This window comes from Homo sapiens, chromosome 4, assembly GCF_000001405.40.
Source record: "Homo sapiens chromosome 4, GRCh38.p14 Primary Assembly".
NCBI classification, from domain to species: domain Eukaryota; kingdom Metazoa; phylum Chordata; class Mammalia; order Primates; family Hominidae; genus Homo; species Homo sapiens.
Window position 1 is genome coordinate 51992483 of NC_000004.12, and position 27989 is coordinate 52020471.

The following is a 27989-nucleotide window of genomic DNA, read 5'->3' on the forward strand; positions in this document are numbered from 1 at the left end:
CAGTCAAGTGACAATGTGATGAGATGAAATTGGAAAGGTAGGGTGTGTCTAGATTATGGAATTTTGTTTTTATACAGTCAGTGGGAGTCATCAAAAGTTTTTGAGCAGGAGCATGATGGGTTGGATATAAGATGATTTGGGGTGAATGGGGGTCAAGAAGAAGTACTAAAGGTCACAATAATCTAGGCAATAGACAAGGGATGTGCTTTATTTGGGGATTGAGAGCAGATGTAAGAAAGTTAAGAGTTATTGAGGAGTTAGATCCGGTTGGACTAGTGATGATGCCAACAGGTGGACTAGGGGGCTCTTAAGGCCCTTCCACAGAACCCCAAAACATTCAACCTTAGTCTACCCTAAATAAATATACACTGTAAGTAAAAACAGTGTGCTTTCTATGCAAACAATGGTTTAACACAAATTGGCTAGCCCTCCTCCATATTGCCAGGCCTAAACATCCACCTTTATAGACATTCAGGAACTTCCACTGCACAGAGCTTAGAGGCTGCTCAGATATAGAAAATGAAAAGAAGGAGACAGATAAGTCAGAAATTTTAACTGGGTTTACTGGGTGGATGTTATGATACTGTTGACCAAGAAAGGGAATATGAGAGATTATATTTGTGAAAGAAAATGATGAATTTGGCCAGGCACAGTGGCTCATGCCTGTAATCCCTGCACTTTGACAGGCTGAAGCAGGAGGACTGCTTGAGCCCCAGAGTTCAAGACTAGTCTGGGCAATATAGGGAAACTTTGAGTCTATTATAATTTTATATTAAAAAAACAATGAATTTTAGGTGCTCAGATGACCTATATGAATTTGGGCAACTAGGGTTGGGAATGTGAGTCTGGAGCTTAGATGGGAGGTAGGGCTTACCATGCAGATCTGGCGTATCTGTGTAGAGCCAGTTGCTGAGGCAGTGGGGTTCAAGGAGAAAGGAATAATAAAGAAAGACTAGGAACAAACCAAAACCCTTGAGGAGTGCTGTCTTTAAGAGGGCAAGCAGAGGGGGGATGTCAGGAAGGAAGATGAGAAAATATTGCAAAGCAGAGCATGAACAGGACACAGCTCATGATGGCTAGAGTGTAGCGAGTCACACCAAGGAAGGGCTAGGCAAGGATGTGCAGAGAGTCTTTTTCTTTACAGAAATCATCAATTCTTTTCTTGAAAATTGATTTTTAATTTACACTTTATTCTAAAAAGTGGCCCCTCTTCTCTTTTAACATAACTTATTTAAAAACATTTATATTTACTCAGAACTTTTCCAATTTTGCAGTTTCACGATCAGCCTCCAAAAAGTTGTGCTAGTGTGTGTTCAGAATTCATTAAAATCTATCCAGCATTTCCACTTAAGTGCTTCAATATGTATGAAAAAATGTCATTTGAATTCTCTTTGATGATCAAGTTGAACATCCTTGTCTTTGTCATCCTAAAGCTGTTCTTTTCAGAGAGCCAAATCCCATCAGATTGCTCCAGGTCTGTATTTGAGAAGGAAAGTTAGAACCACTTCGTCTAACTGCAACAGATTCTCTTCTGAATATTTACCCCAACCTATTGATGAAGTGCTCCTGTGTTCTCAGTGAACTGGTTTTGTTTGGAGCTCTTGTAATAATGGTGCATGGTTCTTGGAATGATCTCAAAATATTCCCCTCTTTCTCTTTCACACTGAAGAGCAGGTTCATCCCCATAGGATGTTAACAAGTGTGTTTAGCTTATAACCCTTCTAGAATCATCGCCCTCAAGTGGGCCCACAAAACCCTCATTTGCATCAGTGTCCACTTGGTTGGAATTCATGTTGTCTCCTTCAGGATCTTGTTGTGAAGGCTTTAGTTTTCCCCTGCCATGATCTTTAAAAGAATATTGTTTAGAGCTGTGAATATTTCCTTAATGAAAGATTCTTATTTTAAAATGTCTGAGTCTCTTTCATGGAAGGCAGCCTTATCAGGATCTGAGGGAACTTCAGCAGAACATGGTGGTGTTTGCTGTAAAACGTCCACATTTGAAAATTCTAAGTCTCTAAGTGAGCAATGCCATTCTGCTGCCTTGGATTGAAGAGCTGTGTCATAATCATAAGTGAACATGCCCGGAAACTCATCCCCTAAGGGACTATTCCCTGGTGACCTGGGCCAGGGTGACAGGCCCTCAGATCTATCAGTGTCAGAGGCATTTTCCAGATGAGTCTTGTACATGCCAGAGTCTGGAGCAGAAATGAGAGGTTTTTCAAAGGGATCTTCTTGATTCTTGCATTTCCCTGGAATTGTTTGGAAGGTAACATTTTCCTCAAGACTGTCTACAGCCGTCACATTGTCCTTGCTTGCCCCTGAGCTCTCGTCCTGCAGGGACTCCTCATCAGGCACTGCCTCTTCAGTCTTGCTCCTTGCACTCTCTGAACTTATGGAGCTCAGAGTGAACAGAGACCCCTCATCAGAGTCACAGTCACTCTCCAACTCACAGCAAGTGTCAGAAGGAGTGGATTTCTGCACTGGTTCCTTGTTAGCAGGAGTGACATCCAGGCCACTGTCCCATCTTGGAGGAAAGACTGATGGGCCTGTGTCTCTTGGGTCACCGTATGGAACCTCGCTGTAGTGGGCTGAAAGCGCTTCCTCAGCCCTTGCCCCGGACAGCCTTGGCTGCTGTATGCTCAGCAAATCAATGGATGAACTCACTTGCCTTTCCTTAGAAAATTCCATCTGCGAGTCCCAAAGTGACTGTTCAGTGCCCCCTCTTTCCTTACTATCTCCAGTCCTCTGTGCTTCTGCATGTGTTAGCATTTTACAGAGGGAAGCTGTTATTTCTCCGGAGAGGGAAGGGTCTAATTCATTGGAATCATAACGGCTTGAGCCAGAGACAGCGTGAGACGTGCCAGCTACAGAAGAGACGCCCACTGAATGTGCACTGAGAGGCTCTTCCTGGGCCACAGTTTCATAAGTCCATTCTCCGAGAATATCATTCCTATGGATGTGGTCCTGCGCTGCTGACATTAGTTCACGGTTACCGGCATGTGGATGTCTCTGGAGAATGGAATAGACTGCACCATCATTTCCACTTCCTGCCCCGGTGTTGTCCCCGCACTGTCCTGGGCTCTGCGAACTGCCAGGATCCTTTCTGCTCCTTCCCAGAGTTCTATCAGGAATTACGGTGGCGTGTGGGTGTGGCTGTGTCACCCAGAAAGGGGTCTGGTTCTCGTAGAGGCTTAGATGAGGAAATACTTGGCGCAGATGGGTCTCTGGGTGTGGTGTGTGCCCCGCAGCTTCCATGTCATCGTAGAAGCCCTCGTTTGAATACGCGTTGTCCAGGCCAGGGCTTTTGCTCTGGCACTTTTTTTGCCACAGTCTGTCAACATAAGGCCTTGTGAAAGCCCCCAGGCTGAAGGCGACAAGGAATGTGATGAACACTGACAGGCACACCGCCAGAGCCAGGTCCTGGGGAGCGTCCTCTTTTTTGCCGGCAGCCTGCACATCGCGGGTGCTTCTAACACTCCTTGGCAGCCGTCTCTGCTTCTTCCTGAGACCAGAGCCGGCCTTTGCCTTCTTCCCCAGAGTAGAAATGCCCGTGTGCCTTCCTCCCTGGGGCCTCTCTGCTTTGCTCCTTATGAGGCTTTTCATGCGATGCAGATGAATGGGAGGAAGGCGGGTTTCCCTGGAAATCCTGCTCTGGGGAGTGCCCCCGTTGGCCTCCTCACTCCCTGCAAGTGGGATTAAAAAAATACACATTGAGCGAACATTGAAATAAGATTTCAGGGGTTTTTCTCTTTTTTACAGAATTGAAAAAAATTCAATTTTTTTGAATTTTGAATTCCAGGCACACCCAGCCTGGAGCGCAGTGGCACAATCATAACTCACTGAAGCCTCAGACTCCTGGGCTCAAGTGATCCTCCCACCTCAGCCTCTAGAGTAGCTGGGACTACAGGTGTGTGTCACCACGCCTGGGCTGCTTTTTTTTTATTTTCCTACTTACAGAGACAAGGGCTGTCACTATGTTGCCAAGGCTGGTCTCAAACTCTTGGCATCAAGCGATTCTCCTCCCTCAGCCTCCTGAACAGCTGGGACTATAGGTGTGAGCTGCTGCCCCAGCTCCAGATTCTAGTGGTTTCAGAAGCTTCTGTGAGTCCTCCTCAGTCCTTATCTAGCTATATGTTAAAGGGTACATTACATGATGATAAGCAGTTTAAAAATTTTATTCATTCATTCGTTTTTGTTTAATGCCAACAGCATGTTTATGGCTGTACGCATTTACACATGGCTATCAGGCTGAGGTCTGTTGCTCAGAGGTCCTGGAGGTTGTATGTGCCTTAGGCTTCCTGCCTCACTGCTGCCTGTGGGAGGAAGAAGCCAGACTAGAGGGACAGCCACATGTACATGGCTTCTCCTTTCTCCATAATCTTACCGACTCTGTGTGCTGTTAAACAGCAAAAATATTCAGTTTTCTTTACTGGTTCCTTACATTTTGCTCTCTACCCTCAGAATGCCAGTTGTGGAGTGAAACAAATGTAGCTGATGACATTAAGACTTCTCTCTGATCTTCATGAATTTCCTCTAAACCTGGTAGGCATGGCCATGTTCCTACTTGAATGGCAGTCCTGAATAGAACAGAATCTATGACTCATTTTTTTCATGGACTTTTTCTTTTTCTAGATATGAGGTTGAGATTTAGCCAAGGTAGTTAAGAGTGAAAACAAGCTTCCCAGAATGTTCAGCCCCAGTAACATATTCCAGCACTTTAGGAGAGGGGCAAGGAACAAATTAAAGGAAAATATGCTTTTGTAATATGTGTGTGTGTTTTGCGTATGTAGAGGATCACACTTTTAGAGTGTTAGCAAACATTTAAAATAATGATGTTTCTAATTTTAAAAGTTCTTTCTTTAATAGATTATTTGTTAGGAATTTGGATAAAACTGTGACGTTAAATTTTATTCAATTTTTAATTCTTGTCTAATGCCAACAGCTTGTCTATGGTTCTTGAGAATAAAGTTTGGTGTGTCAGAACAAAACTCACTTCTAGTGGAATTCCTCCTTTTCACCAAATCCAATTGATGCTGAGTGAGTTGAACTGTGTTTCTTTGACCACATGAAGAAAATAATTGATGAACTGAGGAAAATAGTTATTTGACACCAATGATTTTTCTATGACACAGCCCAAGACTGACTAATGCCAAGGATCAGCACTTTTGCTTTCATGGGGACTGTCATTATTTCAAAAAGACTAAAATGTCTATGTGCATTTTTCATTATAAATGGAGCCTTTTCAGAGAGACATTACTGACTTACCTATAGACCTGTTGCAAATGACATTCCACTTTTTCCTCCAGGATTCAGAAATAAAATTTTGAAAGACTGCCACACTATCATCACACTGCCAGTTATTATCAGCCAAGTCAACCACTAGATGGGGAAATTCTAGAGCTATGATCATCATTGGTAGGATGGTAATCAGAGCATTGTTGCTAAGGTCTATGACCTGTTTGAGAAGAAACAAGTTTAGGATGGTCTGTGGATAAAGACATTTACAGATAAAATAAATGAGTTACAGAAAACTACTGTTTATGTCTCTATGGAGGCAATATGGATTTAACACTGGTTTACAAGTCAGGGAATTAGTGGGGTTTTAAGTCTCTGTTCTACCCCTAAAAAGTTTATGAGTCTTGATAAATTGTTCACTTTCTATAAGCCTCCCTCCCAGGGTTGCTGGAAGCATTAACTGTATGTGAAAGCTTTCAGTATCATGCCTATATTTGATGCCTAATCATTTTCTCTTCCTTCTTTCCTGAGTGTAATTTGTACTGTTAAATAAAACCTAGATACTCATGTTATCAAGGTCTAGAATTGGATACCAGGTCAAGAATTTCTAGAACTACTGCAATCTTGAAAGCAGCAGAAAATACTGGATGATGAAGACACAGAACACAGACTTGTGGTTGACCAGAAATCTTATTTATTTATTTATTTTTCTGGTAGAGATGAAATCTCACTATGTTGCTTAATTGGACTCAAATTCCTGGGCTCAAGTAATCCTCCCCAGGCCTTGACCTCCCAAAATGCTGGAATTACAGGCACGCACCTGACCTCAGAGAGAGATCTTTTGAATCAAATATTATCTCAAGAGTAGTAGTACATTTCTCCACATCCATGGCTATTCAGTACATGCAGTATGACTTATTTTTCTAGTCTGATCAGAAATGAAGGGGAAAGGGGAACAAGAAGTATCCAGTGGCTCTAGAAACAGAGAGCAGGATCTGTAAGTGTCGGACACGACAGGAGCATGACATAGCAGGGGAAAGCACAGTTAGGAGGAGCTTTAGCTGCCATTTGCCGAGCCCTGCTGGGTCCCAGACATGCTACTGGGTGCTTCACATACATGATCTCTGATCTCAACAATTTCCTCATTTTCACCTATTCTACAGAGGAAGAAGCTGGGTTAAGCCACACAGTATATCCCACATAGACCCTAGCACCTAGTACATAGCAGGTGCTGTGTAAACAATAGAAAGGAAGGAAGGAATTAATGAAATGGTAGAGCTGAAACCTGATCTGGCTTCACAGCTGTGTGCCTTCCAATGCAGAACATACCCTCTTGGTGCCTGAGCCCCTGCTACACTAGAGTGAAGGAAGGGCTGGGCTGAGGAGGCCTGGGGCAGAGGCACCAGGGTGGCTCATGAGGTTTGGGGAGAGGCACATGGTTATTAGGAGAAGAGAAAATCATAAAGATGAAAATACAGTCCTTGCTTTCAAAAAAGAGGATGATGAATATAATCTAGAAAGGCTGAATGTTATCAAGGCCAATTGCTTTATAGACACCCGTGAAAAATCAGCATTTACATTTTGGGTTATGTAAATTCCTAAAGAAGGGCTTATTCAAGCAAATAATCAAACACTGCCACAAACAAGACCATTACATACAGAATCACAATTTTTTGTGAACTTGGGTAATAAGCGTGAGTTTTCCATTAATGAATAGCCAAGCAGTGTTGACTCTCAAAGGAAGGTTGCCAAAAATTGGAGGTGGGAGACTGTGGGATTGGAAAGAAAAAATACTTAGCTTTAGTCTGGTCTTGGTGACGATCAGTAGCTTTCTTATGTATCGCTTGACAACAGATTGAAATATTCTAATGTTTTTTAGGTAATTATTTTCTTTTTAGTGCATGTCTACATTTATTTTTTGTCCTAGCGTCTTATTATATTACAAATCATGGAACCAGAAGCAAAACTGGAGGGAGGATAGAAAATTAATAAAATTACTCAGGAGGAACAATTTCTGAGAGAGGAGTAAAACAGAATGGTCCAATTTGGCTAAAGAAATACCCATCTACCAGCATTTGAAAGGGGTATACATTATGGAAAGGTTGGGAGAAGCATATGTAATATTGCTTCATAAATCACTGCATTTAAGAAGAATGGGATAAGATTAGGAAAAGAAATGCTAATTTGAAATGTCAGTGAAACTTATTTCATCCCATCAAAGCATGGTGATAAATGTATGCTTTGAAAAATCTATCTGGCTTCTGAAAAGATTTCCACATGGGAAATCACATAGAATAGTGCAAGTATCAAATTCATTGCCCAGAAGAAAACAACATCCATTGTGATATTCAGCTTTTTTGGTACCAAATATGTTCATCATGTTCCAAAACCAGTTTTTAGAGATATTGCCAAACATGCAGAAGGGATATTAGAGGAGAAGAAATGGTATGATTCTGGGGCAGTTACAGTGCATTGAGAATTACAGCTGTATATAAAACATTCTCAAGGTTGATTTTTAGTCTGCCTGTGACATCTATTACCTGTGAGTTGCAGAAGACTCATAGAGCACAATAAAAATGCACAGAAAATACAACAGATGAAGGGCAAATTACATACACAAGGAGTATACTATATACTACCAATTAACTACCAAGTTAAGTGGACCTTTTCATCTGTCCTCATGACTACTGTAGCAGACAGACTCTAGGATGGTCCCCAGTGATCCTGCCTCCTTGGTGATCAGGCCCTTGAGTACTCTCCTTCCCTTGGGTGCAGGCAGGACCAGTGATTTGTTTCTAACCACAGACTATGGAAAACAATGGAATGCCACTTCCATGATGACATTACAAAGAATTATAATGTTCTTGCTAGCAGACTTTCTTCCTCGATGGCTCTGAAGCAAGCTGACATGTTGTGAACAGCCCTATGGAGAGGCCCACATGGCACAGAACTGAAGGCAGGCTTTGGCCAATAACCAGCAAGAAACTGAGCCCTTACTCCAGCAGCCCACAAGGAACTGAATCCTGCCGACGGCCACGTGAACTTGGAAGTGAATCCTTTTCTAGCTGGGCTTTTATGTTAGACTCCAGCCTTTGCCAACACTTTGATTGCAGCCTCTTGAGAGAGCCTTAAGTGGAGGCCCCAGGTAAGCCATGCCTGGATTTCCGTCTCATAGAAATTGTGAGATAATCTATGTGTGTGGTTTTAAGCTGGTAAGTTTGTAGTAATGTATTATGCAGCAACAGATAACTAATACTCCTATCTATGTCCATCACCCATGTATTCATTCCTTTGTTTATTCGATAAGTATTTTAAAATATGTGTTAGGTACCAGGCATATGCTAAGCACTGGAAAAGAAAACAGATATGATGTATGTCCTCAAAGAGCTTACGATAGGGTAGAAGCGTTTGAGGACACAGGCATTAACAACTAATCATACCTAAAACTAAGTAATTTCAGCTGGGATAAGTGCAATGAGAGGAAACGGAAATGTATAGCATGTTATAAGTGTTTATAAAGGGGAATTAATTTAATCTGGAGGCCCAGGGAAGGAATCCTTGAGGAAATAATATTTTAGCAAAACTGACAGGATTAACAGAAGTCGGCTCCAGGCAAAGGATGAGCAAGTGGGGAGGACTTGAGGTGAAAACAGAGGCAGGAGTGCAGGGAGCCAGGGAAGAGGCTTGAAAGGAGGCTGGAGAGGCAGACAGGGGTCAGGTCCTTGCAGTGAAATCTTAGAAGTGTTTTAACCAAGAAGTGGGAGAATCAGATTTCTATGTTAAAAGAGCAGGCGACAGTGGCCACTTTAAAATTTCTATACACAGACTGCATTTATAAAGTACTTACTGTATTCTAAGCACTTAATTCTCACAAAACTCTGAGAGGAACTAAATTATCTTCATTTTTCAGAAGAGAAAAGTGAGACACAGAGAGATTTGGTAACTTGCCTAAGATAGTGTGGCTGGAAAGTGGCCGAGGCTAGGTTTAAGCCCAGGCAGCTGGCTCAAGGCCACGCTCCCCATCACTGCTTCACTAGTCTCCCTTCTACAGAAGAGGGACTCCAGGAGCCATTCTGGTTGGAAGTGGGGAGTTGGAGGCTTATCTTGCAGCTATGCCTGAATAGCACTTTGCAGAACACTGGGAAAACCTCAGTTTTCTTTGTTGACATTGCTTAATATGATAGCCACACCAATAGATGACTAATACACCTATCCATGTCCATCAGCCACTTATTCATTTAACAAGTATTTAAACATATATATCAGGTACCAGGCATATGCTAAGCACTGGAAAACAAAACAGATATCATGTATGTCCTCAAAGAGCTTACATGTAGCTATAGAGCAATTAAAACAGGGGTGGTCCAAATTGGGATGTGTGGTAAGTGCAAAATATCCACCAGGTTTTGAAGACTTACTATGAAAAGGGGATATAAAATATCTCATTAATAATTTCTATATTGATGATGTGTAAAAGATAATATTGGATAAATAACACTTACCACTAAGAAGAAATTCACTTGCTTATTTTAACTTTTTCACTGTAGCTACTGGAACATCTAAAATTGCATGTGCGGCTCACATTCTATGTTTCTATTGAATGATGCTGGCCTATACAAAGAATGGGAGTTGTCGTGGAGGTTATGGAGATGGGGGACTAAGGACTCTTACAAACCATCTAGTAGTGCTACACTGCAGGCCACTCCAGTGTTGCTAAAAGACCACTGAGAGGAGATTTTACAACATTCTCCCAAAGGGAAGGGTGTGGAGAAAAGTGCTTGGAGGAGAAGGGGCTGAAGCTGCCAGACCTGGAACAGGGCTTCAGGAGTTCCTTACCCTTACAGTAGTATAATTGGCACCTTGGGAGATTAACTGCAACGCGCCAGAGACAGGAACTATTGGGCCAAAATGTGACATAAATCTCCCCAATATGGGTTGGACGTTTAGAACTGCATGTGGCACACATGCTATACAAGTATGGAAATATCATTATCATTTTTATTGTTTTGTGTCCAATTTTGAAATGGAAGCAACAGGGTCACTGGGTTTCAGAGGCCCATCTAGTCCACGGTTGTTGACATCTTAGCATCAGCCAGGGTGGTTTAGCGGGGCCTCCCCAAGCGTTCCATATTGCATAAGACCCCTGGGACCTTTGACCAATCTTGTAGCTTAGGGAGACAGCCTCACTAATAACTAAGATTTAATTCCTTGCCAACTGGTAAGTGAAATCTTGGAGTTGGATATAACTTGATTTAGAAAAATAATGTGTCAATTCTTGCTGTTGAGTATTATGTTGGAGTAAAATTCATGTCCCTTATTGTGGCCTTTGATTTTTGAGGCAAGAAAGAGACTTCAGCTCTTTTAAGGGATCTTAAAATAGACTAACAGTTTTTGATTAATAGCCAGTACTACTGGACATGAAGAAACTCTTCAATAGAAATATGCTTCTAATGTAATTGCCCATGTGTCTTCCTTATTCAAATATTATAAAAATGATTTTAGAACCTGTAATTTTTTGAGGTCCTTGAAGGCTTGTGGGGGAATTTTGAATATCTTGTTGCTCTTTAAACAGAGATTCTCCAGTTGCAGGCAGTTGTGAAAATCAGACCACCCTATTTGCAATATCCCATTGAATGACAGATCCAAACTCTGCAATGACTTCAGTTTCCACAGTCCTGTTAAAATGAAAAAGTAAGTTGAAATCTAAACTGGTAAAATTTACTGCAGCACTGTTTGTAATGGTGAAAAATTGGAGACAACATTAAGAGTTCTCAATTGAGGTATTGTTAAACAACGTATGGTATATTAATACTATGAAATAATATGTGGTCTCAAAGGAGAATGAGACAGATCAACATATAAACTGACTGAACTGGAAGAAAAAAGTTAAGTGCAGAATAGTATAAAGTCCAATGTCCTTGGGAAAAAGAGCCATATGCAAACATATACATAGATTTTGAGTGAGCAGGAAAAGGCCTGGCAGGAGATAAACTAAACTACTAACAGTTAGAGTTAGGACTAGGATGGTTGAGTTGAGGGAAGTGAAGAGGGATAAGAAAAGAAATGTTGTTTTGAACACTTTTGAATTCTTTCTTTCAATGAGCATGTACTACTTTCAAAATAAGAGAATCAGTTAAAAATATAACTTTGATTGAAAGACGTGATAAATATTTATTTGTTTGAACTATATAGTAAAACTAAATAATCTTGCTAAACAATAGAGGAAAAAAATTGTTTTGATGCTTTATCTACATGGATGAGTTCTTCCAGTTTTAAGATTTTTCTTATTCTATTTTTTTTTCTGAGACAGAGTCTCGCTCTGTCACCCAGGCTGGAGTGCAGTGGTACAATCCCCACTCATTGCAACTTCCACCTCCCGGGTTCGAGTGATTCTCCTGCCTCAGCCTCCTGAGTGGCTGGGATTACAGGCGCCTGCCACCATGCCAGGCTAATTTCTTTTTTTGTATTTTTAGTAGAGACGGGGTTTCACCATGTTGGTCAGGTTGGTCTCGAACTCCTGACCTCAAGTGATCCACCGCCTTGGCCTCCCAAAGTGCTGGGATTACAGGCATAAGCCGCCACACCCGGTTGTCTTATTCTATTTTGTAGCCATGTCCTTTCTTATAGCTACTTATTGTTGACATTATGACTATTTCCTAGGCATTCTTGTGTTTTCCAAAGGTAGTAAGTTATAGCTAGATTTTGTTTTCCAGGAAAATAATCAAATTGAATTTTGGTCTCTGCCTTTGTATTTCACTTGATTTCAGAGAGTAACCAGGAGGTCCATTTGGCACTGAAAATAAATAAAGGTTGAGAAGGAGGTGCCAGTCATAGCTGTCTCTCAAATTTCATTTCCCATATGGGTCTCAGAAGGAAGTGCCTGCATTTTTACATTTCCTTCTGCACTGTTCTTGCATGTAGCCTGTGTCTTTAATCAACATAACAAGATCAGGTTGGTTCAATTACAGGAGGCTTTTTTCCTTGCCTACTGTCTGCAAGGTACTTATTGTAAGATTGATTATACAGGGAGATGACTTAATTGAAATGGCTGCACCATCAAGGTTGTCATATGTCCATTTAATTGTATACATGCTAAGCAAGAGATCGTCAGGACGACGAATCAATCAAAACATTATGGGCAAGGCAGTCGGTGCTGAGGACAAGTATGGACAGCATAGAATCTTTACTCTTTAAAGAGTTTAATATGGTCCAATGATAAGACATAAACTCGAAGTAAAGTTACTAGTTATACAGAGTAGTTCATCACATGGACCATCCAACCATAAAATTAAGTTTTATTTGTTTGTTTGCATGTCTATCAGATGATCAAGTCCCTTCAGGGCAGAATTCACATCTTTGAATTTTTGCAGTGTTTGATAGAATATAGTATATACTCAGTAGGCCAGAGGCCACCATGTTTGGCCTGCATAGTGATTTAAAAATCATTGTACTGACATTAAAAATTCAATAAAAATTTGCATTTCTGGCTTCTCTTAAGAAAACTGGAAGTTCTAATTGGCACTAGATGACATTTGGCTGGAGCTGAATGAAGGCTGCCTGCTATCAATGGGGGCGTGAGCTTATAGAAGACTATCATTTCTTTGTACTCATGTCTCTATCAAAAACAAGAAAACAGGCTGGGCGCAGTAGCCGATGCCTGTAATCCCAGCACTTTGGAAGCCGAAGCGGGTGAATCACTTGAGGTCAGGAGTTCAAGACCAGCCTGGGCAACGTGGTGAAACCCTGTCTCTACTAAAAATACAAAAATTAGCCAGTAAGGTGGTGCTTGAGCCCGGGAGGCAGGGGCTGCAGTGAGCCGAGATCCATGCCACTGTACTCCAGCTGGGGCAACAAAGTGAGACTCTGTCTCAAACAAACAAACAACAAAAAAAAAAAAACAGGAAAACAAAGGATAGGCCAAGAAGACTTTTTTTTTTTTTGAATGAGAGAGAACTAAGGCTTATAGTCAGCTTATTCTGGTAAAAAATATTTCCATATTGGTTTGGAAATGACCATTGCCCAAGTCCCTGTGCACAGCCCTGCTGCCCTGAGCACTTACTTCAGTCTATCTTCTCCCTTCCCTCAGTCCAGCAGCACCTGGCTCCAGCACTACAGCCAGGAGGCATCCAACTGTGGAGCCCAGGCTGAAGGCCAGTTGTTAAATATTTTGAATATAACCTCTGGAGAAAATGTTTCTTTGTGCATAGAAGCATATTCCTACATCTTTTAATATGGGTCTGTCAGAAAAAATGCAAAATAAGACACCAATATGAAAGAAGCTACAGCTTTCTTAACATTTTCATGATACCTGCCTGGCCTATATAAGGATGTGAACTCATGATTCCTAAAATATCTCAGTGCTTAATTGAATTGAGTAAGTGCCCTAGGAGCTAAGTGGAGGGAGTGATCATGCCTAGCTTTAAAGCGATTCCTCAGGGATCTAGAACTAGAAATACCATTTGACCCAGCCATCCCATTACTGGGTATATACCCAAAGGACTATAAATCATGCTGCTATAAAGACACATGCACACGTATGTTTATTGCAGCATCATTCACAATAGCAAAGACTTGGAACCAACCCAAATGTCCAACAATGATAGATTGGATTAAGAAAATGTGGCACATATACACCATGGAATACTATGCAGCCATAAAAAATGATGAGTTCATGTCCTTTGCAGGGACATGGATGAAATTGGAAATCATCATTCTCAGTAAACTATTGCAAGAACAAAAAACCAAACACGGCATATTCTCACTCATAGGTGGGAACTGAACAATGAGAACACATGGACACAGGAAGGGGAACATCACACTCTGGGGACTGTTGTGGGTTGGGGGGAGGGGGGAGGGATAGCATTGGGAGATATACCTAATGCTAGATGACGAGTTAGTGGGTGCAGCGCACCAGCATGGCACATGTATACATATGTAACTAACCTGCACATTGTGCACATGTACCCTAAAACTTAAAGTATAATAATAATAATAATAATAATAATAATAAAGAAAAAAAAACAAAAACAAAAAAACAAAAAAAAAGTGACAGAAGAAATTATTTTTAAGCTCCTAATTGTGTACTCTTTATGCTCTAAGCATTTCACAGACATCTCTTTTTAATCTTCAAAAAGCCTGAGGAGTTAACAACATTTTACAAATGAAAAAAAACTAAGTTCAGGGAAGTTAAGAACTTGCCCAACAACACCATGGTAGGTGGAGCTGGAATCAAAACCTAGATCTCTTAATCATTACCCTTTAACCATGCCCATCTTTTATTAACTAAAAACAAATAAAAACAACCCTCCCTCAAAACCACAAAAGGGTGGTCTGGGCCATGGTACATAATGAAATTGCCAGATGTATTGGGAGTTGCTTAGTTAATCTGCTTGTGTCACGGAGTACTAGAGTCAGCGCTGGAGTTGAACTTAAGAGACTGAGGTTTATTCCACCTTTATCTGTGACTTTTTGTTTTGTTTTGAGACAGGATCTTGCTCTGTCACCAGGCTGAAATGCAATGGCACAATCATAGCTCACTGTAACCTCGAACTCCTAGGCTCAAGCGATTCTCTTGCCTCAGCCTTCAGAGTAGCTTGGACTACAGGTGTGTGCCACTATGTCTGGCTATTTTTTTTTCTTTTAATTTTTTGTAGAGATAGAATCTCACCATGTTGCCCAGGCTGTTCTCAAATTTCTGGCCTCAAGCAATCCTCCCACCTTGGCCTCCCAAAGTGTTGGGATTACAGGTGTGAACCACTGCTCCCAGCCCTGTTTGTGACTTTTGATGTGAGCCGAAGAAAATCACTTAAGGCCTCCATGCTTGTTACATTCCTTAAAAATTGTTTCTCATAGCTGGAATTGAGATATGTCTTTGATTACTACGATCTTCAAGCTTTTGGAGTCCAGTGGAAGCCAGGTCCATTAGTTTGGATGATTGTTCATCAAATATTCACTGTCTTGTGGGCAGAATACACTTCCCCATCCCACTGAGTTGAGTTTGGCCATGTAATTTGCTTTGGCCAAAGGAATGGCAGCAGAGGTGTTGTGAGCAAAGATCTGAAGCATGCTTATGTGGCAGGGCTTGCTTTCTTGGTTTCTGCTAGTGTCATTTAAATAACATGGCCTGGTGGCCTGCTGATCTGAATGAGGGCCTTGTGGAACAGACTGGGACCCATGTGTAACTTTCAAGATAATAGGGACGAGCCCTTGAGGAATAACAACTAACTATGTTAGAGTAGGGTTAGAGATCTTGACTGCCAATTTTTTTTTTTTAATTTATAGAATCAAAGTTGTTTAGTGAGATCTGGCAGGAGTTCTACTAGCCTCAGGTGACTGTGTGTGAATTATGCTGGATTAAGTTTTGTAAGTACTGACACTATCTTGTGAATGGGCTGCTGCTAGGATGAAGATGAGGACAGAAGCTGTTTGATAGGCTAGATGGCTTCCCAACTCTGGTCTGCAGAAAATCCAGGTCATGATACCTAGCTGGCCCTGACTGGTGGGATGAGATGCTCTGAGATCAAGTTTTCAGAAAAAGAGCTCCTGATTAAATAATTTGACCTAGGTAAATTCCAGAGATCTGCTGCAAACATTATTCTAATCTCCACACAACAAAGTAAATTCCAGTTGGATTATAAGTATAATATGCCTGAAAAATCTTCTCTGACAATTTTGCCATCCATGGAGTTAAGGCACATATAAATAAAAGATTGGTGTAGTTGCACACGGGGAAAGCTGTTTTTTTTTTTAAGATTAAAAGAAGAAATTATAAAGGAAAATATTAATATATTTGATTGCCAAAAATTTAAATTGAGTGTATGTCAGGAACACTATAAAAAGAATAAAGATATGGATGAGAGCAGATTTCTTATCGGAAACAATGCAAATTCAAAATAATGGAGCAACATTTAAACAAACTGAAAATCTTTAAAACGGTCAGCCTAGAATTCTTTATTGAGTAAAAATATATTTGAAAAACAAAGGCAAATAAAGACCTTTTCAATAAAGATTTGAAAGCATTCATCAGGAGTAGACCCAGAGTAGAAAAAATGTTCAAGGAAGTCCTTTAGAGGAAAAAATGAAACCAGATAGAAGTCTGGAGTAAGGAACAAAGAGCTCCAGAAATTTATGTAGGTTAAATATTTTTTCTTATATTTAAATCTCTTTAAAAGCAACATTGTGAAGCAAAGATAGTAAAAACATATTGTGGAAATTATATATAGGGGTAAAATGTAGGACAATACCTGCACAAAGGACAGAAGAGGGGAAAAAATGGGAGAACACCATTGTAAGGTTCTTATATTACAGGCAAGTAGTTTAATACCAAATAAAAATAGACTGTGATCTTAAGATATATACTGGAAATCCCAAAGCTAGAATTCTAGGATATCCACAGATTATTCGATATTCATAACGCACTTCTAAATAACCCATGGGACCAAGAAAAATCAAAATAGAAATAATTTTGACTCAACTAAAAATGAAAACATCACATATCAAAATTTGTGGGACGTAGCTAAAGCCATTTTTAGAGGCAAATTACTAATTTATTATCAAGTTGCACTAAATGTCTATTAAAGAAGAAATGCCTCAAGTCATTGACTTCAGCTTCCCCTTTAAGAAACTTGCAAGAATGAATGAAATTGTAAGTAAGCAGAAGAAAGGAAATCATAAAGATCAGAGAAGAAATAAAGTAGGAAATGTAAAAATAATAGAGAAAAATCAATAAAACCAAAAGCTGGTTCTTTAACAACAATAAAATTGATTTAAAAAGATTTCTAGCCAGGCTGATCAGAAAAGAGAAGATATAAATTATCAGTGTCAATAATAAGAGAGGTGGCATTACTACAGAGTCTATAGATACTAAAAGGATAATGAAACATTGTGAACAGCTTTATGCTAATAAACTACCAATACTCACTCAAAAAGCAATAGATAATGTGAATAACCCTGCATCTATTAATGAAAGTAAACTTGTAATTAAATACCTTCCCATGAAAAAACTCCTGTTCAGATAGCTTCACTGGGGAATTCTATGAAACATTTATGGAAGAAACAAAGCCAATTCTAAACAAACACTTCCAGAAGACGGAAGAGGAATAAATATCTCCCAATTCATTTTATGAGGCCCACATTACTCTAATACCAAAACTAGACATCAACAATATAGCAAAAGAAAATAATAACCCAATATTCCTCATGAACATAGGTGTAAAATTTCTTAAAATTTTAGCAAATTGAATCCAAAATATATAAAAAAGACAATAAATCATGACAAAATGGAATTCATCCCACGAATGCAAAGTTGATTTAATATTAGAAAATCTACACAATTCTCCAAATTAACAGATTAAAAAAGAAACCCATATGATCATCTCAGTAGATCCAGAAAAGGTCTTGGGCAAACTGGGAATAGAGAGAATTTCATCAACCTGGCATAGAGCATTTATGAAAGATCTAGCAGCTTTATTTTTAATAGCCAAAAAGACAATCTAAGTGTCCATCAACAGATAAATGAATCCACATGATGGAATTCTACACAGCAATGAAAAGGAATGAACCTTTCCCCACAGTTCACAAAATTTTTTCTTTTTGTCTTATTTTTTAAAATAATGTCAACTTTTATTTGCGAGTACATGTGCAGGTTTGTTACACAGGTATATTGCCTGATGCTGAGGGTTTGCAGTACAAATGATCCCATCACCCAGGTAGTGAGCATAGTACTCAATAGGTAGTTTTTCAGCTTTAGTCTCCCTCCTCCCACACTCCTCCTCCTTCTAGTGGTCCCCAGTGTCTATTGTTCCCATCTTTACGTCTGTTTGAACCCAAGATTTAGTTCCCACTTATAAGCGAGAATATATTACTTTGCTTAGGATAATGGCCTGCAGCTACATCCATGTTGCTGCAAACGACATGATTTCATTCTTGTTTAGAGCTGTGTAGGAGACCATGATGTATATGTACCACATTTTCTCTATCCAATCCACTGTTGATGGGCACCTAGGTTGATTCCATGTAGTTGCTATTGTGATTGGTGCTGTGATGAACATATGAGTGCATGTGTCTTTTTTGTAGAATGATTTATTTTTCCTTTGCATATACACCCACTAATGGGCTTGCTAGGTCGAATTGTAATTCTGTTTTTAGTAGGAATGAACTTTTAATATATACAACGACATGGATAAGTCTCAAAATAATTATGCTGAAAAAAGACGTTAGACCAAAAATAAAAGTACATATTGTATGATTCCTTTTATATAAAATTATAGAAATGCAAGTGAATCTATAATGAAACAGAAAGGAGATCAGCGGTTTCCTGGGTTGGGGAGAAGGGATGGGTGGAAAAGACAGATTACAAAGGGGGATGAAGAAGCTTTTGCGGTGACAGACATTACACTTAGTAAATACTCCCTCTGTACTATGAACTTCTTAAGTGCTCTCCCAAGTATGATAACCTGATAACATAAAACAATATTCAGGGATTATGGCTTTTAGTCCAAAGAGCAATAAGAATTGGAATAGAGTCTAGAATGGTCCTGGGTAAGATATTTGATTCATTAGGTCAGATCTTATTGTGGTCAAATTATGTAGGTGAGCCAAAGGCTCTGCCTTCTTAGTTGAGTATCTTATATACTTTTTGTTTTAATTATCTTGATAGTGGTGATGGTTTCATGAGTCAGTGTGGTTCAGAGAGTCAGAGGACAGATCAAAAAGTGCTCTGAAAAAGGAAGAGCAGAGGCTTCCAACATTATGCAGACCTATATAAATATGAACAGAGGCACCCAGACTGTTGGTGAATACTCTAAACATCTGAAGACAGAGAATGAGAATCCCCTTTAATTATCTATTGTGCCTGAAATCAAGGAAGTTACCGTTACAGCAAAGACCAGGGCAGGAAATATAGAATTAAAGACTCAGGACGATCAAGTGGCACTAAAGGGGAACTAATGCTTTTGAACACCTGCTGTGTGCCAGGCACTATGAGAGATGTTTTACATGTATCATCACTCTATGTGTTATAGTCTTGATGCACACTGTCTCTAAACCTTATACCTACCCTATACATATACTTATTCTCAGTTAAAGATAAGGACCAGGAAGCTTTTTTAGGTTAAGTGACTTGTTTAAGGTCAACAAACAAGTAAATAGTGTAATATAAGATGTGTAAAAGAATTACAAGTAAACAGGCTGAGAACGGTGACTGATGCCTGTAATCCCAGCACTTTGGGAGGCTGAGGCAGGCGGATCACTTGAGGTCAGGAGTTCAAAACCAGCCTGGCCAATATGGTGAAACCCCATCTTTACTAAAAATACAAAAAAATTAGCTGGGTGTGGTGGCAGGCACCTGTAATCCCAGCTACATGGAAGGCTAAGGCAGGAGAATCTCTTGAACCCGGGAGGTGGAGGTTGTAGTGAGCTGAGATCATGCCACTGCACTCCAGTCTGGGTGACAAGAGTGAGGCTCCATCTAAAAACAGAAAAAAAAAAGGAGTAAATAAAAAGAGTGGGACCCGAACATACCCAAGCATGTGGGGAGAGGGTGATTTTGATTTTGAATGCAGTTATTAGAGAATCCTCTTATTTAACTCCCCTCATAATATCAAGCTGAGATTTTCCAAGAGGAAGGTAAACTTCTTCTGGAGATGAGAATAAAGACCAGGAAGTTCAGTTTACACCTCCTGAATGAAAACTTTTCCTTTACTTTCAATTTTAGATAATTAAGATTTTATTTTTTTAAGGGAACTGGTACAGACCTGGTTTGTATAGCGTCTCTCAGGATGGAGTTGGGAAATTTAAGAAAACTCTTGCATGGTACTTGACTGCACTTCTCAATGGGAAAATGTATTCTTTTAATATTTTTGCTTGGTAAGCCAATGTTCAGAGGGTAGTCAAATGAGTGAAAAGAGGCTGTATGGTGCATTCACGGCTGGGGCTTGGACATCAGGGGTACATTTTATACTTCAAGAGAGGAGAGTTGAATGCTGGGAGGAAAATATAGAGGTACTCTGTGGAAAGGGAATTATTTATTGAACTGCTTTCTAAAGATTACAAAGGACACACTAGGCAGGAATTTTATTAGCCTTTGCATTTAAGTGGCCAGAGGCAGTTTTATTATTTCCAAGAAATGACCTGTCTCTCAGAAAAAAAGGCCACAGAAAGGATACTCAGACATTACACTTAGTAAATACTCCTTCTGTACTATGAACTTAAGTGCTCTCCCAAGTGTGATAACCTGATAACATAAAACAATATTCAGGGATTATGGCTGTTAGTCCAAAGAGCAATTAAGAATTGGAATAGAGTCTAGAATGGTCCTGGGTAAGATATTCGATTCATTAGGTCAGATCTTATTGTGGTCAAATTATGTAGGTTAGCCAAAGGCCTTGCCTTCTTAGTTTAGTGTCTTATATACTTTTTGTTTCTTTAGAACCTGAATTAGTTTTGAGTACATTGCTTATTGATAATTCCATAATCCAGTAGCAATCAGGATGAAATCTTTAATTTTCTATGAATAAAGGAACACAATATACTTTAGTTTTTTATAATACACTGTGTATTTTTTTTAATTCCCCCAGTTTCAAATGTTAGGTATTATTTTATCTTATTTCTAACACATTTACCTCTTAGGTTCTAGAACTTAGTTGGTTAATGTGAGGCTGCTACATTTGGTCTATCAACCTAACTGGAATCCCAACAAGATGTTGTTCCTGCTGCATTTCCAGTTACTCTGTGAGCACTCCAAAAATACTGCTTGATGAAGGTAGGACAGATTAACCAGAGACTGATCCCATTGTTTTCATGTTTTTAAACTAGTTTTTCAATTATGAATGCTGTATTCCAAAAATATGGGAGGAAGGTAGAAGCATCATTAAAATTAAATTCATGGCTGGCTTCTGTTTTATAAATTGCATTGGCCAGCACCTCTTTTGGGCATTTTCCCAACATGAAGCTTATTGGTGACACCACAACTGACTCTGAAGACAGGGTTAGTTCGTGTGATATCTCACCCTTACACAAATGGGCTTTCCTGAGTGAAAGCAACTTTTCATTGGTTCTAGAAATAGTCCCCATTTTAAAATATGTGGTACATAGTTACAAAGGTTGCTTGATTGTTGCTTTCTGAGATCTCTCTAATTTATTATTATTTTAGATGAATGCAAGTGCCTATATAGTCAGACACAAATAATTATCTGCTCATGAATTATAGTGGGCTACTACTTCAATAGTTGTTGAACATTTTAAAAAATAACTTGAGGCCGGGCACGGTGGCTCACGCCTCTAATCCCAGCACTTTGGGAGGGTGAGGCCTGCGGATCACCTGAGATCAGGAGTTCGAGACCAGCCTGACCAACATGGAGGAGCCCCGTCTCTACTAAAAATACAAAATTAGCCGGGCTGGTGGCACATGCCTGTAAACCCAGCTACCTGGGAGGCTGAGGCAGAAGAATCGCTTGAACCTGGGAGGCGGAGGTTGCGGGGAGCCGAGATCGTGCCATTTTTCTCCAGCATGGGCAACAAGAGTGAAACTCTGTCTCAAAAAACAAAAAACAAAAAAAACCTTGAGATTTAGACAAAAATTAATTATTTGTTTCTAAATATACTGTTATTCTCAATTTATGCCAAGAGAATAATAAAAACTAGTATTTGCAAGGTAAATCTTCAGACAAGATTCTGAAGTAGTTTTCATATATTTATATTGTGACAGTTTATTATGCCAAATACCATGTTAAGTTAGGTCTTTGAGATACATTTTTTCATTTTATCCTTACAATGATCCAATGAGTAAATCTTATATTATCCAGATGTCACCTATAAATAGACTTAGAGTGAAGAATTGAAGAACAAAGAAATAGGCCAAAAATAGGGCATGCCCTAGGCAGCATCTCTCTCACCAGCAGTTCCCCTCAAAATGGGATTTCAAAGTCAGAGCAACTCAGCCATAGTCACAGAATCATAAAATAGGAAAAATTGTTAGAGGAGACTCAACCTAGTGAAAACTAATATGATGATTATGGGAAAATAATTTAAATCACAAAATACTATGGATAAAAGGACTCTGAATTATATCCAATCAGATTCATGCCTTACACTGAACTTCCACCGTCTATCTCTTTTCATTCATCTCTCTATGTCTTCATTTGCTAGAATTTTAATAGAATTTCAGATACAGAATTTGCTCACTTCCCTTCTTTTTTCCCCCTCCTCTTCAAGTTGAACATTTTTCTTGATCTTTTGGGAGGCAAAAGCTTAACTCAAAAAAAGAAGATGGATCTGTATCTGCATTTATAGGGATATTTGGTCTTTAAGTGGAACTGTATTAGTCCTAACCCCCAGTTAGCTCAGGGGAATTCATCTGCCTTAAGGAGAGAAACTCAGCACTTCCTATTTACTCTTGTGGTGGGGTAATATTTTGACATGTTAATCTCTTACTTCCCTATATTTTCCTCTTGCTCTTTCTCTCCATTCACACAGAAAGTAGGCTCCACGTTCATTGTCCCAGGGAAGGCATATGGCAAGGCAGAAAGTAGCTGAGTCTACAAGTCTTTCTGGCTTTTGTTTTCCAAAACCCTAACCCTTTAGAAGAAAGTGATTTCCAGACAGAGGGTTTTGAAGAAAAAAAAAAGGGAGAAGAAATTTTCTCCAAACTGAAGAGGCTGAAAAGAAATATTATCTGGGTAGCAGGGGTAAGGAATGCTCACCCCTCGATGCCTTGTTAGAGTATACGATTCGATGCCTTGTTAGAGTATACGATTTGATGCCTTGTTAGAGTATACGATTCTCAAGCTGGGTACAAATCCAGGCAAAGGCAGAGGAAAGCTGATGAAAGACTGATGTTAAGTATCCCTACAACTCCCCCTAATGGGGGCTCAGAATCGGAAATTATGTTACTACAGACAACAGAAGGTTATATCTCTAGTACACTTGAGTTTGTGGATTGAGATCACATCTACCATACCAGTTAAAAATTTTTGTTATATTATATGGATATATGTAGCTATAATGACGTCCATCAAAAAACAAAACCTGGAAATAACCTAGTGCTTGATTAAACCAATTATGATATACGCATATATAAAAACCAACTATTTGAAATATTTGTGAGATTGCTTAATTATATAAAGTTATTAAAATATTCTATGATATGAAAATACAAATTAGAAATATGGACAGTATGATCCAATTTTGAAAGAAAAAGGTACAAATAGGCATAAATAATAAACTTGAAGAACATATATAACATGAATGACTTTAATTTTTCCCTTTAAATTTTTCTTCAGTTGTTAAATGTTCTATAAGTAACAGGTATTCTTCTTGTAATAAAAATAATACAATAAAAATAAAATAAAATGCAATTCATTTACACTGAAAATATGACATACTACTTTTATGGAGAAGGTCAGGGAGATAAGACGCCCACCCTTCTCAAACAATTCTGCTGACATGGTGACTGTAATAATTCCTATACCTGCTAGGCTATTATTGCCAAAATGATGCTTAAAGCAAAGCTGGAGAAAGAGCATGAAGATAAAAACATGAAATGTCAGAACTGGATAATAAGAAAAACTAAATATGCACAATTTGGAATGGAGAAAGAGAACAATAACCTTATACATTTTTTTGAATAATGTCTTATATAAAGGAGGTGCTTAGCAAAGAGTGAACAAGCCTGAAAACAAACAAGGAAAGGAAATTAATTGTCTAGCACTCTGGAATATAAAAAGGGCAAAGGAAGTTTTGCTTTATGAACTTGATATATTTTCCAAAGAAAACATTGGTGTATCCGTTAAGGAACTCCAACATATAGACTATTGAATGTCAGATGAGAATTTATGATAATTGGAGGCTATCTGGAGTACCCTGTTAGAAACTAGGATAAGGAATTCTGATTTTGACTTGATAATCAGAAGGTTTACATACCAATATATAATATTAGGATACTTCTGCTGTAAGTTTGGAGGACAACTAGATAGACTGAGGCAAAATGTACTCAAAGAAGAAAAATATTATAATATGGCAACATTTAATTTGAATTGTATTACATATTAAATGTATTTGAACTAGTTATTGCTCAGTGCTTTTCTATATTAACTAATACATGATAATTAAAGTAGGTAACTTACAATCACTCATTATTATTTAGCACTTAAATACTTCCTAGTGTCTCGATAACCGCACATAACATTAATGTCAGATATACTAATGGGAGACTAAATTTCATTAGCTGTAAATTCCACACACTATAACTTCCAATGCCACTAAGAAACATTATTATATGTGCTCTGATCAAATTGCTTTACTTTCAGCTGTCCCTTGAACCTGAAAACAAATGTGGAATTCTTATGAACATGAAACAACTCCACGTAAGCATTGTTTCTCTGCCTAGTTAAAATTGTACTCACCCTTGGGAGTGTCACTGAGTTTATTTCTTTGAAGAATGAGCACCTTCAGCAATGGAAACCTGTTTCTGAAGCTGCTTCTGTGGCGTTTCACCCATGAGGACTTAGGACTGAGTAGATCCAATGAGAGGGAGTGGATGGCATTGTTGCTGAGGTTTAACACTTCCAAAGCATGTAAATATGCAAAAGGGCTTAAGGTTATTTTTGATATGAGATTGTTACTGAGGTCCAGATGTTTTATTTTCCACTCTTCTTTTTTCGTGTGAGACTGTAAGAGAACTCTAAAGAAATTGAAACTTACATCCACAGTGGCTGCTGTCTGTGATATGTCCACAGGTATATCACACTTTCCGGTAAAAGAACAATTTGTCAGAATATATTCATTCCATTGGCATTCAGAATTGAATAAAATATTGCTTTTTCTTGATGCATTTGTCATTATTCCAGTAAAATAAAGACCTATAACTATGGTAATGACTCTGAAATAGAGGTTTTTCATAATGCCTGGAAAAAGGAAAATGAATTGACTTATTCACAATAATATATAAAAACTAACAGCAATAAGCAGCAAATTTAATTTTCAATTTAAGATTTCGGAAAGTTATCTTGTCTTGGTTGCCAATTTAAGCGAATGTTTGATTTCTTACTGGGGCATGAAAATGTAGCTACCAAAATGAAATAGCCATAGTATAAAATTACATTTATGTCACATTTTAAAGAAAGGACTCCCCTGATTTTTCAGAAAATACATATTCAGTTAGGCCTCACCTCTGCATCTGCTTTTCCAGTAGTTTTCACTCCACAGTGTGCTTTGGGATGAATGAAACCTTACCAAGATTAAAGACTTCCCTGTTTCTTTGCAGGCCATTAATACAGAGCAAAGTCTATTATGCTTATCTACAACATAGTAATCAACCATGTAGTTTATTACATAAATGACAACCAGTTACACTAAACCGTGACCCTCCATAACTCTATGAGTAAAAAGTTTAACTCACAAAAGAGGCTCTTACTTTTCATGACTAGAAGAAATACAAGTTTTGCTGTGTGGCTTGTGTGACTTTTCAAATCATTATGAAATCATTTAGATACATACAACATAATGTGTTATCAAATACATGTTCTGGCTCCAAGCCATGAAGATGTAATACGATACAGAAACATTGAGTATCTTTTGTACCAAACATTTTTGAGAAAAAATTCAAAGTTTTTAAAAAGAAGTGTGTACAAATTACAATGGCTGAATGTATCACAAAAATAAGTTTAAAAATGGGTAATTTTTGTGATTTGTTTTAAACTAAATTCCACTTAAAAGCCACTGTGTGTACAAATAATCACATTATTGAGTATATGAGTTTCCAAGAAATTGTCCCTTCCTTTCTGTTCTAATGGCACTCAGTTTAGTTTTCATCACTGCAGTCTGAAATACTAAAATGGCTTAACTGACTTTCTTGCCTCTGCCTCTTGACTTTCCTTCTTTGTGATCCATCCTAGGTGACTCCAAAGGATTATTTTCCTACAATAACGTATTTCCTATATTATTCCTTCATTTGAAATCCTCAAAGGGCTCCTTATTGCCTATAGTCCAAATCCCTCAGGTTGGTATTCAAAGCCTGTGTTATCTAGGTAAACTTAATGACCTAGCTTGATAAGTTCATGTGGAGCCACTACAAGATGTGGCTTCTGCAAAGAATGATCTATGCATATCGCATACTGAAATTCACTTTCAGTTCATTCCCAGTTCCAAGTTCAATGCCTTTTCCTCTTAGCCACAGTCTTAAGATGGAGTTTCGCTCTTGTTACCCAGGCTGGAGTGCAAGAGCGCCATGTCAGCTCACCACAACCTCCGCCTCCCGGGTTCAAGCAATTCTCCTGCCTCAGCCTCCCGAGTAGCTGGGATTACAGGCATGTGCCACTACAACTCACTAATTTGTATTTTTAGTAGAGATGAGGTTTCTCCATGTTGGTCAGGCTGGTCTCGAACTCCTGACCTCAGGTGACCCGCCCACCTTGGCCTCCCAAAGTGCTGGGATTACAGGCGTGAGCCACCACACCCGGCCAGCCACAGTCTTGTGTATCCTTCCAGATTCATCTCACATCTTATGGCCTGGTCATTTTTCCTGCTTTAGCCTCCAAATTTGTCTTTATTCTTACAGAAATCTTTCAGTAAACACTGAAGGAATTGATACACATTAGTAACATTCAGCGTTGCTATTGTTTTGCTTTGTATCTGTTCTGAACTCCCAAAAAAAAAAGGAACATTATCTATCTATCTATCTATCCAATGTTTTACATTTTTAATAGTCTGCAGTCTGTCACTGGGTTATGTTGTTTGTGTGTAAATGAATGCATGGAGTGAAGTGAATGAAATTTACAATGTAACTTTAAAACTTTTGTTTCATACAAGGTCAATCCTCCCATATTTTCAAGGGCATTTAAATTCAGGTACACATGGCCATGAACAGCAAAGGTAGCCTACAGCATGGAGGAGTGATTTATTTTTACAGTGTGCTTCTTATGCAATACTAGAAATTGAATTGATTTGCCCAGGAACAAAGATATTTTTTCTACGTTCAAAGCTGAGATCATTATATATACAATGGTGCACCAAGCTAATGTAACAAAATCAGCAACAAAAAAATATAGTCACCATTCACAGGTACATTACTTTGTAGTGCTGAAGAGAAAGACATGGTTGAAAAATACTTTTTCTTAAGGGGACATGAATTAAAATTGCCCTGGTTCTTTTTAAGCTGAAGAGATTTATACATGTTAGGTTTGAGTTCAAAACAGCTAGACAAGGAATCTTATATCTTAAAGTGAAAGGTATTAATTTGTTAAAAAAATCATACTATTTATAAATTTATATGTATTAGGTAAGGAACCACTCAGAACTCCAGAAAAAGTTGCTTAGAAAACTGGAAACAATTAGGCAAAATGTAAATTTCAAAATGGAAATAGTCAAGCTGAAGTAGGAGGAAGCAGTTAGAAATACTGGGTGTGTACATTTGTGAGTCAGCAAGTGAAAGATAGGAAGAAGGCAGCACAAAAAAACAAAGTATTATAGAAAGGAAATGAAGAGTTCATTTATACATAAAAGAAAGGGTGGCAAAACTGAAGGAAAAAAGCAACAGAGGCTATTTCGGGTAAGGACAAGACCTGGAAAGTAATAATGCCTCTAAGACATACCTTCGTATCCTAAGTGGTTATCAAATGGGTGGATATCTGGATCAAGCCAGGTAGGGATTTAAGACCTGAACCTTTGAGGCTCCACCCAACCTGCCATCAAGGCTGCCCAGTGGCCAGCCCTCACCCTTTCATCTCCGGCTTTGGCCTCCTGCCATGGTGACAGTGTGC

General features: G+C 38.8%; 1 protein-coding gene across 5 annotated transcripts; it reads right to left on the reverse strand.

Moving 5' to 3' along the window:
• Window positions 1170-27881, reverse strand: LRRC66 (leucine rich repeat containing 66). Of its 5 annotated transcripts, none has more exons than NM_001024611.3 (5): window positions 27822-27881; window positions 24636-25136; window positions 10741-10910; window positions 5266-5455; window positions 1170-3683 (listed from the first exon to the last, which is right to left on the reverse strand). In NM_001024611.3, exons 2-5 carry the CDS (start codon window positions 25129-25131, stop codon window positions 1897-1899), a joined length of 2643 nt encoding a protein of 880 aa, NP_001019782.1. In that variant the 5' UTR covers window positions 25132-25136; window positions 27822-27881; the 3' UTR covers window positions 1170-1896. The 5 variants fall into 5 exon arrangements, with proteins under 5 accessions (NP_001019782.1, XP_047271600.1, XP_047271602.1 ...); XM_047415644.1 differs by having other exon boundaries at window positions 25401-27881; XM_047415646.1 differs by lacking the exon at window positions 27822-27881 and having other exon boundaries at window positions 24934-24994.